Below are 17,201 nucleotides of genomic sequence, written 5' to 3' on the forward strand. Positions count from 1 at the left end.
ATTGATGGGCATTTAGGTTGACTCCATGTCTTTGCTATTGTGACTAGTGCTGCAATGAACATATGCATGCATGTCTTTATAACAGAATGATCTATATTTCTTTGAGTGTATACTCAGTAATGGGATTGCTGGGTCAAATGGCATTTCTGGCTGTAGGACGTTGAGGAATCACTGCACTCTCTTCCACAGTGGTTGAACTAACTTACACACCCACCAACAATGTATAAGCATTCCCATTTCTCCACAAACTTGCCATCATCTGTTGTTGTTGTTGTTGTTGTTGTTTACTTTTTAATAGTCACTCTGACTAGTGTGAGGTGGTATCTCATTGTGGTTTTGATTTGCATTTCTCTGATGATCAAAGATGTTGAGCATTTTTTCATGATTGTTGTTTGTATGTATGATTCTCTTGAAAAGTATCTGCTTGTGTCTGCTGCCCACTTTTAATAGATTTTTTTTCTTCTTGTATATTAAGTTCCTTATAGATGTTGGACATTTGTCAGATGCATAGTTTGCAAACATTTTCTCCCATTCTGCAGGTTATCTGTTTACTCTGTTGATAGTTTCTTTTGCTGTGCAGAAGCTCTTTAGTTTAGTTTAATTGGATCCCATTAGTCAATTTTGCTTTTGTTGCAGTTACTTTTGGCATCTTCATCATGAAATCTGTGCCCATGCCTGTGTCCTGAATGGTATTATCTAGGTTTTCTTCTAGGGTTTTTATAGTTTTGGGTTTTACATTTAAGTCTTTAATCCATCTCGAGTTAATTTTTGTATATGATCTAATGAAGGGGTCCAGTTTCAATTTTCTACATATAGCTAGCTACTTATCCCAGCACCATTTATTGAATAGGGATGCATTTCTCCGTTGCTTGTTTTTGTCAGGTTTTTTGAAGATCAGATAGTTGTAGGTGTGCAGTCTTATTTCTGCATTCTCTATTCTGTTCCATTGGTCCATGTGTCTGTTTTTGTACAGGTACCATGCTGTTTTGGTTACTGTAGTTCTGTAGTATAGTTTGAAGTTGGGTAGCAATGATGCCTCCAGCTTTTTGTTTTTCTTTTTTTCTCCTTAGGATTTCCTTGGCCTTTTGGACTCTTTTTAGGTTCCATATGATTTTTTTTTTTTTTTTTTTGGTGCACATAGTTTATTTAACACTCCTCTGTTTGGTGATTTAGATTATTTCCCACTTTTATTTGTAATAAAAAATTGCACTGCAGTGAGCATCCTTATGATTAAATTTTTGTACTCATCCTTAATTATCTTTTTAGGATGAATTTCCAGAGAGTGAATTACAGTTCACATTTAACTCTTTCAATGCATAGTGTCAAGCTGCCCTGAGGAGAGGTTGTGCTAATGTGTGCATGCTCAGCAGTGTATACCAGTGCCCATTTCCTTGCAACCTTGGCAACGCCAGATATTGCTATTTTATTTTAATTAATTAATTAATTTTTCCATACGTTATTGGGTACAGGTGGTATTTGGTTACATGAGTAAGTTCTTTTTTTTTTTTTTTTTGAGACGGAGTCTCGCTGTTGCCCAGGCTGGAGTGCAGTGGTGCAATCTCGGCTCACTGCAGGCTCCGCTCCCCGGGGTTCATGCCATTCTCCTGCCTCAGCCTCCCCCATAGCTGGGACTACAGGCGCCCGTCACCTCGCCCGGCTAATTTTTTGTATTTTTAGTAGAGATGGGGTTTCACCATGTTAGCCAGGATGGTCTCGATCTCCTGACCTCGTGATCCACCCGCCTCAGCCTCCGAAAGTTCTGGGATTACAGGCATGAGCCACCGTGCCCGGCACATGAGTAAGTTCTTTAGTGATGATTTGGGAGATTTTGGTGCACCCATCAAATATGGGTATACACTGCACCATATTAGTACTCTTTTATCCCTCACCCCCTTCCCACTCTTCCCCCCAAGTCCCCAAAGTCCTCTGTATCATTCTTATACCTTTGTGTCCTCATAGCTTAGCTCCTACATATCAGTGAGAACATACGATGTTTGGTTTCCATTCCTGAGTTACTTCACGTAGAATAATAGTCTCTAATCTCATCCAGATCACTACAAATGCTATTAATTCACTCCTTTTTATGGCTGCATAGTACTCCACTGTGTATGTATGTATGTGTGTGTATATATATACGTGTATATACACATAAACACATATATACACATATATACATGTATGTGTGTGTATATGTGTATGTATATATGTGTATACACACACACACACACACACACACACACACCAGTTTCTTTATCCACTTGTTGATGATGGGCATTTGGGTTGGTTCCATGATTTTGCAGTTGTGAATTGCTCCACTATAAAAATGCATGTACAAGTATCTTTTTTGAGTAATGACTTCTTTTCTTCTGTGTAGACACCCAATAGTGGGGTTGCTGGATCAAATGGTAGTTCTACTTTTAGTTCTTTAAGGAATCTCCACACTGTTTTCCATAGTGGCTGTATGAGTTTACATTCCCACCAGCAGTGTAGAAGTGTTCCCTGTTCACCACATCCACGCCCACATCTACTGTTTGATTTTTTTTATTATGGCCATTCTTGCAGGAGTAAGGTGGTATCGCATTGTGGTTTTGATTTGTATTTCCCTGATCATTAGTGATGTTGAGCATTTTTTCATGTTTGTTGGCCATTTGTATATGTTCTTTTGAGAATTGTCCATTCATGTCCTTAGCCCACTTTTTTATGGGATTGTTTTTTTCTTACTGATTTGAGTTTGTTGTAGATTCTGGATATTAGTCCTTTGTTAGATGTATAGATTGTGAAGATTTTCTCCCACTCTGTGGGTTGTCTGTTTATTCTGCTGACTGTTTCTTTTGCTGTGAAAAAGCTCTTTAGTTTAATTAGGTCCCAGCTATTTCTCTTTGTTTTTATTGCATTTGCTTTTGGGTTCTTGGTAATGAAATCTTTGCCTACGCCAATGTCTAGAAGGGTTTTTCCAATGTTATCTTCTAAAATTTTTATAGTTTCACGACTTAGGTTTAAGTACTTAATCCATCTTGAGTTGATTTTTGTATAAGGTGAGAGATGAGGATCCAGTTTCATTCTCCTACATGTGGCTAGCCAATTATCCCAGCACCATTTGTTGAAAAGGGTGTCCTTTCCCCACTTTATGTTTTTGTTTGCTTTGTTGAAAATCAGTTGGCTGTAAGTATTTGCATTTATTTCTGGGTTCTCTATTCAGTTCCATTGATCTGTATGCCTATTTTTATACCAGTACCATGCTGTTTTGGTGACTATGGCCTTATATTATAGTTTGAAATCAGGTAGTGTGCTTCCTCTAGATTTGTTCTTTTTGCTTAGTCTGCTTTGGCTGTGTGGGCTCTTTCTTGGTTCCATATGAATTTTAGAATTGTTTTTTCTAATTTTGTGAAGAATGATGGTGGTATTTTGATGGGGACTACATTGAATTTGTAGATTGCTTTTGGCAGTATGGTCATTTTCACAATATTGATTCTACCCATTCATGAGCATGGGATGTGTTTCCGTTTGTTTGCGTCATCTATGATTTCTTTCAGCAGTGTTTTGTAGTTTTCCTTGTAGAGGTCTTTCAACTCCTTGGTTAGGTATATTCCTAAGTATTTTTTTTTTTTTTGCAGCTATTATAAAAGGGGTTGAGTTCTTGATCTGATTCTCCACTTGGTTGCTGTTGTTGTATAGAAGAGCTACTGATTTTGTATATTAATCTTGTATCCAGAAACTTTGCTGAATTCTTTTATCAGTTCTAGGAGCTTTCTGGAGGAGTCCTTAGGGTTTTCAAGGTAAACGATTGTATCATCAGCAAACAGTGACAGTTTGACTTCCTGTTTACTGATTTGGATGCCCTTTATTTCTTTCTCTTGTCTGATTGCTCTGGCTAGGACTTCCAGTACTATGTTGAACAGGAGTGGTGACAGCGGGCATTCTTGTCTTGTTCCAGTTCCCAGAGGGAATGCTTTCAACTTTTCCCCATTCAGTATCACGTTTGCTGTTGGTTTGTCATAGATGGAGTTTATTACATTAAGGTATGTCCTTTGAATGCTGATTTTGCTGAGAGTTTTAATCATAAAGGGATGCTGGATTTTGTCGAATGCTTTTTCTGCATCTATTGAGATGATCATGTGATTTTTACTTTTTTTTTTTTTGAGACAGAGTCTCACTCTGTTGCCCAGGCTGTAGTGCAATGGTGCAATCTTGGCTCCTGCAACCTCCGCCTCCTGGGTTCAAGCGATTCTCCTGTCTCAGCCTCCCGAGTAGTTGGGATTACAGGCGTGCGCCACCAGGCCCGGCTAATTTTTGTATTTTTAGTAGAGACAGGTTTTCACCATGTTGGTCAGGCTGGCCTCAAACTCCTGACCTCGTGATCCACCCGCCTCAGCCCCCCAAAGTGCTGGGATTACAGGCATGAGCCACCATGTCCAGCTGATTTTTACTTTTAATTCTGTTTCTGTGGTGTATCACATTTATTGGCTTGCATATGTTAAACCATCCCTACATCCCTGGTATGAAACCCACTTGATCATGGTGGATTATCTTTTTGATATGTTGTTGGATTTGGTTAGCTAGAGCTAGTAGTTGTTAAGAAGTTTAACATCAATGTTCATCAAGGATATCGGTCTATAGTTTTCTTTTTTGGTTATGTCCTTTCCTGGATTTGGTATTAGGGTGATGCTGGCTTCATAAAATGAATTACAGAGGGTTCCTTCTTTCTCTATCTTGTGGAATGGTATCAAAAGGATTGGTACCAATTCTTCTTTGAATGTCTGGTAGAATCTGAATGTCTCCTGTGAATCCATCTGGCCTGGACTCTTTTTTTTGTTGTTGTTGGTAATTTTAAAAATACCATTTCGATCTCGCTGCTTGTTATTGGTCTGTTCAGGGTATCTAATTTTTCCTGATTTAAGCTAGAAGGGCTGTATTTTTTCCAGGAATTTATCCATCTCTTCTAGGTTTTCTAGTTCATGTGCCTAAAGGTGTTCATAGTAGACTTGAATGATCTTTTGTATTTCAGTGGTGTCCGTTGTAATATCTCCTGTTTCGTTTCTTATTGAGGTTATTTGGCTTCTCTCTCTTCTTCTCTTGGTTAATCTTGCTAATGATCTATCAGTTTTATTTATCTTTTCAAAGAACCAGCTTTTTGTCTCATTTATCTTTTGTATTTTTTGTTTGTTTCAATTTCATTTAGTTCTGCTCTCATCTTGGCAGTTTTCTTATTTCTGCTGGGTTTGAGTTTGGTTTGTTCTTGTTTCTGTAGTTCCTTGAGGTATGACCTTAGAATGTGAGTTTGTGCCCTTTCAGTCTTTTTGATGTAGGTGCTTAGGGCTATGAACTTTCATCTTAGCACCGCCTTTGCTGTATCCCAGAGGTTTTGATAGGTTGTGTCATTATTGTCATTCAGTTCAAATAATTTTTTAATTTCCATCTTGATTTCATTTTTGACTCAATGCTCATTCAGGAGGACGTTATTTAATTTCTATGTATTTGTATGGTTCTGAAGGTTCCTTTTGGAGTTGATTTCCAGTTTTATTCCACTGTGATCTGAGAGCGTGCTTGATATAATTTCAATTTTTTAAAATTTATTGAGGGTCGTTTTATGGGCTATCATGTGCTGTATCTTGGAGAAAGTTCCATGCACTGTGTGTTCTGTGGTTGTTGGATGAAATGTTCTGTTTATATATGTTAAGTCCATTTGTTTTAAGGTATAGTTTAAATCCATTGTTTCTTTGTTGAGTTTCTGTCTTGATGTCCTGTCTAGTGCTGTCAGTGGAGTAGTGTAGGTCTTAGGTCTATTCTTAGGTCTATTAGTAATTGTTTCTTAGGTCTATTAGTAATTGTTATATAAATTTGGGAGCTGCAGTGTTAGGGGTGTGTGTGTGTGTGTGTGTGTGTGTGTGTGTACACACATATATATACACACATACATATATACACATACATATATACACACATACATATATATACACATACATATACACACACACACACACACACACACACACCCATCTATATACATATTTTGAGACAGAGTTTTGCTGTCATCCAGGCTGGAGTGCAGTGGTGCGATCTTGGCTCACTACACTTTCTGCCTCCCAAGTTCAAGCGATTCTCCTGCCCCAGCCTCGTGGAGTAGCGGGGACTACAGGCACATGTCACCGCAGGTGCCTCTGTTTTTAGGATTGTGATATTTCCTGTTGGACAAGGTTTTTACCATTATATAATGTCCCTCTTGGTCTCTTTTAACTGCTGTTACTTTAAAATTTGTTTTGTCTGGTATAAGAATAGCTGCCCCTGCTCGCTTTTGGTGTCCATTTGCATGAAATGCCTTTTTCTGCCCCTTTACTTTAAGTTTATGTGAGTCCTTATGTGTTAGGTGAGTCTTCTGAAGGCAGCAGAGAGTTGGTTGGTGAGTTCTTATCCATTCTGTGGTTCTGTATCTTTTAAGAGGAGCATTTAGGCCATTTACATTCAATGTTAGTATTGAAATATGAGGTACCGTTGCATTCATTGTGATTTTTGTTGCCTGCGTACTTTGTTTTTTTTGTTGTTTTTGCTTTTTAACATGTATTTTTGTTTTATAGGTCCTGTGTGATTTATGCTTTAAAGAGGTTCTGTTTTGATGTGTTTCCAGAATTTGTTTCAAGATTTACAGCTCCTTCTAGCAGTTCTTATAGTGGTGGCTTGGTAATGGCAAATTCTGTCAGCATTTGTTTGTCTGAAAACGACTATATCTTTGCTTCATACATGATGCTTACTTTTGCTGGATACTAAATTCTTGGCTGATAATTGTTTTGTTTGAGGAGGCTGAAGATAGGGCACCAATCTCTTCTAGCTTGTAGGGGTTCTGCTGAGAAATCTGCTGTTAATCTGATAGGTTTTCCTTTATAGGTTACTTGGTTCTTCTGTCTTACAGGTTTTAAGATTCTTTCTTTTGTCTTAACTTTGGATAACCTGATGACTATGTGCCTAGGCGAAGATCTTTTTGCAATGAATTTTCCAGGTGTTCTTTGTGCTTCTTGTATTTGGATGTCTAGGTCTCTAGCAAGGCTGGGGAAGTTTTCCTTGATTATTCCCCCAGATATGTTTTCCAAGCTTTTAGAATTCTCTTCTTCCTCAGGAACACTGATTATTCTTAAGTTTGGTTGTTTAACGTAATCCCAGACTTCTTCATGACTTTCTTCATATTTTCTTCTTCTTTTTTCTTTGACCTTGTTGGATTGGGTTAGTTCAAAGACCTTGTTTTCGAGCTCTGAATTTCTTTCTTCTCCTTGTTCAATTCTATTGGTGAGACTTTCCAGAGCATTTACCCTTTTTATTTTATTTTATTTTATTTTATTTTATTTTATTTTGAGACGGAGTCTCGCCCTGTCACCCAGGCTGGAGTGCAGTGGCACGGCTCAATGGCTCAATGCAACCTCCACCTCCTGGGTTCCAGTGATTCCCTGGCTAATTTTTGTATTTTTGTCCAGCTAATTTTTGTATTTTTAGTAGAGATGGGGTTTCGCCATGTTGGCCAGACTGGTCTCAAAATCCTGGCCTTGTGATCTGCCCGCCTCACCCTCCCAAAGTACTGGGATTAGAGGGGTGAGCCACCATGCCTGGGCAGCATTTCACATTTCTAAAAGTGTGTCCAAAGTTTCCTGATTTTTTGGTTGTTTTTTCTTTAAGCTATCTATTTCCTTGAATATTTCTCCCTTCACTTGTTGCATCACTTTTTGGATTTCCTCGCATTAAAATTGGGCTTCACCTTTCTCTAGTCCATCCCTCTTTAGCTTAATAACTAACCTCCCTAAATTCTTTTTCAGGTAAATCAGGGATTTCTTCTTGATTTGGATCCACTGCTGCTGAACTAGTGTGATTTTTTGGGGGTGTTGAAGAGCCTTGTTTTGTCATATTACCAGGGTTTGTTTTCTGGTTCCTTCTCATTTGGGTAGGCTCTATCAGAGGGAAGGTTTAGGGCTGAAGGCTGCTGTTCAGGTTCTTTTGTCCCACAGGGTGTTCCCTTGATGTAGTACTCTCCCCCTTTTCCTATGGATGTGGCTTCCTGTGAGCTGTACTACAGTGATTGTTGTTTCTCTTCTGGGTCTAGCTACCCAGCTGGTTTATCTGGCTCCAGGCTGGTACTGGGGGTTGTCTGCACAGAGTCCTGTGATATGAAGCATCTATGGGTCTCTCATTCATGGATACCAGTGCCTGTTCCAGTGGAGATGGCAGGGCTGTGTGATGGACTCCGTGAGGGTTCTTGGCTTTGGTGGTTTAATGCTCTATTTTTGGGCTGGTTGGACTCTTGCCAGGAGGTGCGCTTTCCAGAAAGCATCAGCTGTAGTAATATAGAGAGGGACCAGTGGTGGGTGGGGCCCTGGCACTCCGAAGATTATATGCCATTTGTCTTCTACTACCAGGGTGGATAGGGAAGTACCATCAGGTGGGGGTGGGGCTAGGCATGTCTGAGCTCAGACTCTCCTTGGGCAGGTCTTGCTGTGCCTGCTGTGGCGGATGGGGGTGAGATCCCCAGGTCACTGGAGTTGGGTACCTAAGAGGATTATGGCTGCCTCTGCTGAGAAATGCAGTTTCTCAGGGAAGTAGGGGAAAGCCGGCAGTCACTGGCCTCACCCAGCTCCCATGCAAACTGAAGGGCCTGTCTCACTCCCACCATGCCCCCCAACAACAGTCCTGAGTCTTTTTCCAGGCAGAGGGCATGATGGGCTTGAAAACTTGTCCTGGGCTACCTGCCTCCCAGCTGCAAAAGAAAAGGGCCTGAATTTTAAAGTAGTTTTTATCTAGTTCTGTGAAGAATCTCAGTGGTAGTTTAATAGAAATAGCATTGAATCTATACATTGCTCTGGGTAGTATGGCCATTTTAACAATATTGATTCTTCCTGTTCATGAGCATGGAATGTTTTTCCATTTGTTTGTGTCATCTCTGATTTCCTTGAGCAGTGTTTTGTAGTTCTCATTGTAGAGATCTTTCACCTCTTGGATTAGCTGCATTCCTAGGTGTTTTATTCTTTTTGTAACAATTGTGAATGGGATTGTGTTCCTGATTTGGCTCTTGGCTTGGCTATTGTTGGTGTATAGGAATGCTAGTCATTTTTGTACATTGGTTTTGTGTCCTGAAACTGCTGAAGTTGTTTATCAGCTGAAGGAGCTTCTGGGCTGAGATTATGGGGTTCTCTAGATATAGGACGATGTTGTCTGCAAACAGGGATAGTTTGACTTCCTCTCTTCCTATTTGGATGCCCTTTATTTCTTTCTCTTGCCTGGTTGCTCTGGCTATAACTTCCAATACTCTGTTGAATAGGAGTGGTGAGAGAGGGCATCCTTGTCTTGTGTCAGTTTTCTAGGGGAATGTTTCCAGCTTTTGCCCATTCAGTATGATTTTGGCTATGGGTTTGTCATATATGGCTCTTATTATTTTGAGGTATGTTCCTTCAGTACCTAGTTTATTGAGAGCGTGTTTTTTTTTTTTTTTTTTGACAGAGTCTTGCTGTATTGCCCAGGCTGGAGTGCAGTCGTGCAGTCTTAGCTCATTGTAATCTCTGCCTCCGCCTCCTGAGTAGCTGGGACTACAGGCACACGCCACCATGCCCAGCTAATTTTTGTATTTTTAGTAGAGATGGGGTTTCCATGTTGGCCAGGATGGCCTTGATCTCCTGACCTCGTGATCTACCCGCCTCGGCCTCCCAAAGTGCTGGGATTACAGGCGTAAGCCACTGTTCCCGGCCGAGAGTTTTTAACATGTTAATGATATGTATGCTAAAGTGGCTAAAGAGGCGAAGTGTATGGATATCTGCAACTTACTTTGAAATGTATCAAAAATAAGATGTTTCAATGCAATAAAAGTTGAAAAAAATAAGATGGATTGATAAAGGGACAGGTTAATGGACAGATAAGTGATAACGCAATTATTGTAAGACATTAATGGTCGAATCCAAATAGTGGGCATACGGATGTTTACTGTACCTTCTTAGAACTTTACTGTATATTTAAAACTTTTCATAATAAAATTTTGGTAAAACTAGTGTTACTGAGAAGGTACCTAAGCCTGCATAGGTCTAGTTTGGTTCAGTCAACATTTAGTGACACCTATAGTGCTCAAAGTGATATAATAAGTATTAGGGATGTAAGAATGAAGTAACTCAGACTCTTTGAGGTAAAGAGTGGCAGGAAATAAAACTGGAAAGCACAGGTTAGTTAATGGAGAGTCTTATACACCATGATAAGGAGCTTGGACTTTATCCTATGGGGTTTTAGGGAGGGGAATGATACTTAGGTAGGTTACTTTAGCAGCATTGTGGAGGCTAGATTTCAGGAGGTGGTGGTGGTGGTAGTGGGTATAGACTAAAGACAAAGATAATAATTAGGAAGCAGTACTCCAAGTGAAGATGATTGATTAACCTAAATTCCAATGGTTATAGGGCTAGTTTCTAGAAATATTTAGGAGCATTAATCAATTGAATTTGATTGGTTGGATTAATTGTAAGTGGGTTATAGAGAATCAAGAACGACAGAGACCACATATGGAGGAGCAAGTTTGGAGTTTGAGGGGAAAATGATGAGTTTAGTTTAAGACATCTTATGTTTTGGATATTATCTAGTCAAAGACTTCTTTATCCATGCATTTTTGCCTACGTTATTTTAAAAACATTCACGATAGAATTCCATGTCTGTTGCTAACAGTAAGATGTTGAGCAAAATGGATACAGATACTGCCTTTTAGAAAGTTACAGCCTAATAGGCTGGGTGCGGTGGCTTATGCCTGTAATCCCAGCACTTTGGGGGGCCAAGGTGGGCAGATCACTTGAGCTCAGTAGTTCGAGACCAACCTGGGTAACATGGTGAAACCTCATCTGTACTAAAAATGCAAACATTAGCTGGGAGTGGTGGCACGTGCCTGTTATCTCAGCTACTTGGGAGGCTGAGGCAGGGGAAGTGCTTGAACCCGGAGGCAGAGGTTGCAGTGAGCCAAGATCGTGCCACTGCACTGCAGTCTGGGTGACAGAGTAAGACTCTGTCTCAAAAAAAAAAAAAAAAAAAAACTTACAGCCTAGTGAAGGAGATAATTAAACCAGAGTTATAATAAAAAGTGATATTTATGGTGATAGGAAAAGTACAAGATGGTATGGAACTTCCTAGAAGGAACAGTTATTTTAACATTGGCTTGTAGGTATTATCAGTTTGAAGCCTGGGATGAAGCCTGGACTGGAGATACCAATTAATGTCTTTCTGTTGCTGATTCCTGAGAGTTGATAAAAATGTCCCAGCAACTCAGGAGGCTGAGGTGGGAGGATGGCTTGAGCTTGGGAGGTTAAGGCTGCAGTGAGCTGTGATCACACCACTGCACTCCAGTCTGGGTGACAGAATGAGACACTGTATCAAGAAAAAAAAAGTTTTTCATTTTTCCTTTTGAGACAGAGTCTCATTCTGTCGCCCAGGCTGGAGTGCGGTGGCATGACCTTTCCTCACTGCAACCTCTGCCTCCTGGGTTGAAACGATTCTTGTGTCTCAGTCTCCCGAGTAGCTGGGATTACAGGCGTGTACCACCACGCCAGCTAATATTTGTTTTTGTTTTTGTTTTTGTTTTAGTAGAGACAGGGTTTCACCATGTTCACCAGGCTGGTCTTGAATTTCTGGCCTCACGTGATCCACCCACTACCCAAAGTGCTGGGATTACAGGTGTGAACCACTACTCCTGGCTGAGAAAAAAAAAAAAAGTATTTTCTTTTCTGTCCACTAAAAAAGTCTAAAAGCCAAGATTAACCCAGAGAAAACAGAAGAAATGGAGAAATAGTAGATTCTAGGTGTAAGACAGGGAATTTACAAGGAATTTACAAGATGAGTCTGGGACATCTCATGCCATAAAAGTTAAGCTGCTGCCAAAGACTAATAGGGTTAAAAGGACACAGGAGCCAACACACACACACACACACACACACACACATCCCAAACCCCAATGGATTAAAGACAAATGTGAAAGGTAAAAACTTTAATAAAAGGAGATTATCTGTATGAGATTGGAAATAAGGAAGGACATCTTAAACAAGATATAAAAGCATACCATAAAGGTATAATGGTGCATTCTTGTCTTTAATATAGTCAAAAATTTTTTTCGTCAACCACAAAGACAGGAAAAAGATAAGCAACAACTTGGGAGGAGTTATTTGTAACACTGACAAAGGATTAGTTTCTAAAATATATAAAGACTACTACAAATCAGTGAGAAAAAGGCAAAGAACTCAGTGGAAAAATGAGTAAAACATAGGAATAGGCATTTCAAGGAAGAAGAAACAAGATGACAAGAAACATATGAAAAGATGTTCAACCTCATTATTAATCAGGCAAATACAAATTAAAACCTCAATGAGAAACCACTACACAGCTACTAGGGATGGCAAACATTTAAAAACCTGAGTGTTTAAGTATTAGCAAGATGTGGAGAAATGGAAACTCTTATACTTGTTTAGTGGAAATATAAATTGGCAAAACTACTCTAGGAAATATTTGGAATTATTTATTAAAATTAAAGATGTGTATTGCCTGTGACCAGAAATTTCACTCCTAAGTATATACCCTAGGAATATATAGTTGCCCTGTTTGTAATAGAAAAAGCTAGAATCAACATAAATGTCCACTAACAGAAGAATGAATAAACTGAGTAGTGGATGAATAAATTGTATTCAGTCGGTGAAATACTATAGGCAGTGAAAATGAACATACCTACATCTACATATGTCAGCATGGCTATATTCAAAAATAATATTTAGTGAAAAAAGTAAGTAACAAGAAGAATGCACTATGTTTCCACTTATATAAAGTTCAGAAAGAAGTAAAACTAAACAAGTTGTTAAATGAGTTTGAGACCAACAATATAGCAAGACCCTGTCTCTACAAAAAGCCCAAAATTAGCTAGGCATGGTGGCATGCACCTATAATTCTAGCTACTCAGAGGGCTGAGGTGGGATGACTGCTTATGCCCAGGAGTTTGAGGTTACAGTGAGCTGTATTCATGCAACTGCACTCCAGCCTGGGTGACAGAGTGAGACTCTTTCTCTTAAAAAAAAAAGATTTTATTTATGGAACTTGCCTCATATGGGAAAACCATAAAGACAAGCAAAGGAATGGTTAAGACAAAATTTAAGACTGAGAGTAGATGGAAGAAGAAATGTAATTGAGGAGGGACACCCAGGGGACTTCAAAGGTACCGGTAATGTTAATGATTTTTCTCTCAATGGTGGGATGAAGGTGATTTTTATTTTGTTTTCTGGCTTTCCATATTTTTGTATGTGTGGCTTTCAGAGAGGTGATGTCATATAGGGGTTTCTCTAGGGTTGTGGTTCTTAACCAAGGATGACTTTTTACTATCTTCCTCCCCCCAGGAGACATTTGGCAATGTCTGGAGAGTTATTTGGTTGCCGTGACTGGGGTTGGGAAACTACTGGCATTCAGTAGACAGAGGCCAGGGATTGCTGCTAAACATCCTACAATGCACAGGACAGCCCAAGAGCAAATAATTATTTGGCCCAAAATGTCAATAGCGCTAAGGTTCAGAAACCCTGTTCTAAGAGCCAGACTCTTTGGGTTTGAATTCCAGCTTTGCACTTTACAACCTGGGAGACTATGGGAAATTACTAATCTCTATGTCTCAGTATCATTGTTTATATGAGGCTAATAGTAGTATCCATCTCATAGGTTTGTTGTGAGAATTAACTGAATTAAAACATAAGGTACTGAGTCCAGAACCAGACAAATAAGAAGTACTTGATAAATTCTAACAATAATGTTTTATTATTATTTTTGTTGAATATATTCAATTGGTTGAGAAAAAAGTTGATTAAGAGAAATATGTTGAAAAATAGTTATTATAGCAATAGAAAATTATGCAAAGACACACATATGCAGAAACCCTACTTTAAAATGTAGCATGTGGAAATTTCACAAGAAGACTTTGCAAACAATGACAGCCTGTTATAATCTGTATCTTATCTGTACTTAATAGCAATTTCTAAACAAGAAACCAGAGCACTGAACATAAAGTGTATATGAGTTAGTGCTAATCTGAATTTAAGCTATATTAGTAACTGAACTCAGTGTTGTGACAGATTACATTACAAAAACCATCCTATACTTTAGTACACAAACTGATATTTCCCTTATTCTCTATAAAGACCCTTCCAGAAAGATCCTTGGGAAGTCAGTTTCTTGATTGAATTTCATGTACACTTGTTTATCCAAGTGGATGTGTCTGTAAAGTTGTGACAGGATGCTGTTTTTTTGTTTGTTTGCTTATTTCAAGACAGGGTCTTACTCTGCTGTTGCTCAGGGTGGAGTGCAGTGGTGTGATCTCAGCTCACTACAATCTCCAGCTCCTGGGCTCAAGTGATCTTCCCACCTTAGCCTCCTGAGTAGCTGTGACTACAGGTACACGCCACTGTGCCTGGCTACTTTTTGTGTTTTTAGTAGAGATGGGGTTTTGCCATGTTGTCCAGGCTGGTCTCGAACTCCTGGGCTTATGCAATCCACCTTCCTTAGCTTCGCAAAGTGCTTGGGTGTGAGCCACTGCACCTGGCCAGGATGTTGTTGTTGTTGTTCTTTTTTTAAAACAAGTATTCTAAAAAAATAAGCTATTTAAAATATATACAATTTATGGTAAAGTTTCTTGAAGCTTTCGCAAATTAAACAAATTCTTAGGCATGTATATTCAACTGTAATATGGCGTATTTCCCTCCAAGCAAATAAAGATTATTATTTTTATTTTCAATGCAGGTATGTCCAGAAAGAAGTAGATTGAAGCAATGATATTGACCATTACTATCATTAGTATAGTTCCATATAATTAGCAAAGTCCTATCACATTTGTGTTCACAAAAGAGCTTCATAAAAATCCCGTGGAGTGTGTGGCATTATCTCTATTTTAGGAATGAAGAAGTTGAGGCTTAGAGAGATGAAATGACTCGCCCAAAGTTATAATGCTAGAAATTGTGGGACTATCATTCAGACTCAAGTCTCACAATAAATCCTAGCCTTTCTGTAATTGGTATAACAGGGAATTGCTATTTCCTCTCAAAATGAACTGAGATGCGATGTCAGAGACAGAGAGGGAGAAGGGTTCAGAACTACCTGTCAGATGTGATATTTTATATGCATTATTTATAAAAATTATATGTAATAAAATATATTGAATAATTTAATCATTATTATACACCTTTTATTTTTAAATTTTTTACTTTGGATAATTTCAAACATATACCAAAGAGAGAATGACATTTGCAAACTGCTGTATTACCCGCTACCCAGCTTCATCAGTTATCAACTCCTGGCTACTCTTTTTTTTTTTTTTTTCTGTGACACAGAGTCTTGCTCTGTCACCCAGGCTGGAGTGCAGTGGCATGATCTTGGCTCACTGCAATTTCTTCCTCCTGGGTTCAAGTAATTCTCATGCCTCAGCCTCCCAAGCAGCTGGGATTACAGGTGCAGCCGCCACACCTGGCTAATTTTTGTATTTTTAGTAGGGAGGGTTTTGCCATGTTGGCCAGGCTGGTCTCAAACTCCTGGCTTCAAGTGATCCACCTGCCTCGGCCTGCCAAAATGCTGGGATTACAGGCATGAGCCACCGCGCCCTGCCAACATCTGGTTACTCTTAATTCACCTATATCCCTTCTACTTTCTCCCTACTGAATCATTTTGAGTCAACTTGAAGATGTGTAATTTCATTTGTACCTACTCTGTTATGCACAATTTTATTTTAAAATAGCTTTTAAATAATAATTACAACTTGGGAATACTGAAAAGCTGAATAGTTTTTTAGAAGCTGTTAGTGTAGTTAATATAGACCAGTTAATCTAGTTAATGTAGTCCAGTTAATGTAGACCAATAGATAGCATTTCTTGAGTTCAAAATAATCACATACATTATGCTTTTCTCTTAGAATTTAAATGTCTAGTAATAAACAGAGAAAGTGTTTTACCTGTTCTCTGCCGTCTTCTCTCAGTTCTCCGTCTAAAGTAAAAGATTAAAACATTAATTATCTTAAAAGTCTAATAATGGACCTTAAGAAAATTTTTTTACAACACTAAAAACAGAAATGCTTAAAATAATAACAAGTTACAATGCTGAGAACTCTAGAGAAATAAAAAACCAAACCTTAACATAGTATGAAAGTGCCAATCATTTTCATATATATGTGTATGGCTACCTTGCATTACAGTATTTACTATGTACAGTATATACTATAGTATATACTAGCAGCATATCACTTGAGAGCTTATTAGAAATGCAGAGCCATAGGCTCCAGCCCAGATCTACTGAATCAGAATCAACTTTTTAACAAGATCTCCAAATTTATCTATATTTATTTGTATGATCATTGAAATTTCACCTTTGTAATAATCAGGCAACTTGGTATTTTATATCAATGACAAGCAGTCTTATACCAACTAGAAATGCTCAGAGTTTTCTTATTTTTATTAATTTACTGAAAGTTCTTGCAAGCTATAACATAGTTTTTCTGTTATACTTTGAATACTTGGGTGTCTTGAATACCATTACCTTCTGCATTACAGGTATTAGTCATCAAAAATCCAGAACAGATGTCTTTTTCAAGTTCATTCCTTCTGTCAATTATTTGTCTGCAGTATATGGGTGTTTTTAATTGGAAAAAGGATTAAAAAAGAAAATTTTAAGGTTAGGTATAAGTTATAGATTTTAAAGTATTAAAATATTTTAAAGTTTCTGGGTTAAAAAATGTAATTAAAAAATTTCTTTGGAAACTTTCAACAATATAGTAATCATTTAAATACCATTATATTTAAAAACAGAGAAAGCCACTTTTAATTTTTCCACCATTAAATATTTTACCGGACATTTCAAAGAGCAGTTAAATTAAACTTTAACATACAGATAATGTATTTTACATATGAAGTTTTAAGAGAAACAATCATGGAAACCAAATGTGATGCTCTGAACTCATGGTTATTACAAAATTAAAATGAATGATGAAGTTTTATAAACTTGTAAAAGTAATTCACTTTTGATGTAGAAAACCCCCCACCAAAACATAGAAAAAGAATAATATAAATATCCAGAGTTGTTCTCTGGATATTTAGCTCCACTACTTATTATTATGTATCTTTTAAAAAAATAAAACTGAGATAATGTGGTCTTGTGAAATTTCATGTCATCATCTTTCACTTATTTTTTTTTGTTTTAAAATT

The 17,201-nt window shown here is 38.1% G+C and overlaps 1 protein-coding gene across 15 annotated transcripts in view; it reads right to left on the minus strand.

Annotated features, from left to right (window-relative positions):
* The window catches only part of WDPCP (WD repeat containing planar cell polarity effector), a 721,268-nt gene that overhangs the window by 17,400 nt on the left and 686,667 nt on the right, over positions 1 to 17,201 (minus strand). For 8 of the 15 annotated variants that reach the window (XM_047444629.1, XM_047444627.1, XM_047444626.1 and 5 more), the window contains one exon: positions 15,956 to 15,987. In XM_047444629.1, coding sequence (XP_047300585.1) covers positions 15,956 to 15,987 — 32 coding nt within the window. Of the gene's footprint in view, positions 1 to 15,955; positions 15,988 to 16,536; positions 16,617 to 17,201 lie in introns of all 15 variants that reach the window. The other 7 variants (NR_148705.2, NR_148704.2, NR_122106.2 and 4 more) reach the window with 1 other exon arrangement.

Source organism: Homo sapiens, chromosome 2 (genome assembly GCF_000001405.40).
Source record: "Homo sapiens chromosome 2, GRCh38.p14 Primary Assembly".
Classification (NCBI taxonomy): domain Eukaryota; kingdom Metazoa; phylum Chordata; class Mammalia; order Primates; family Hominidae; genus Homo; species Homo sapiens.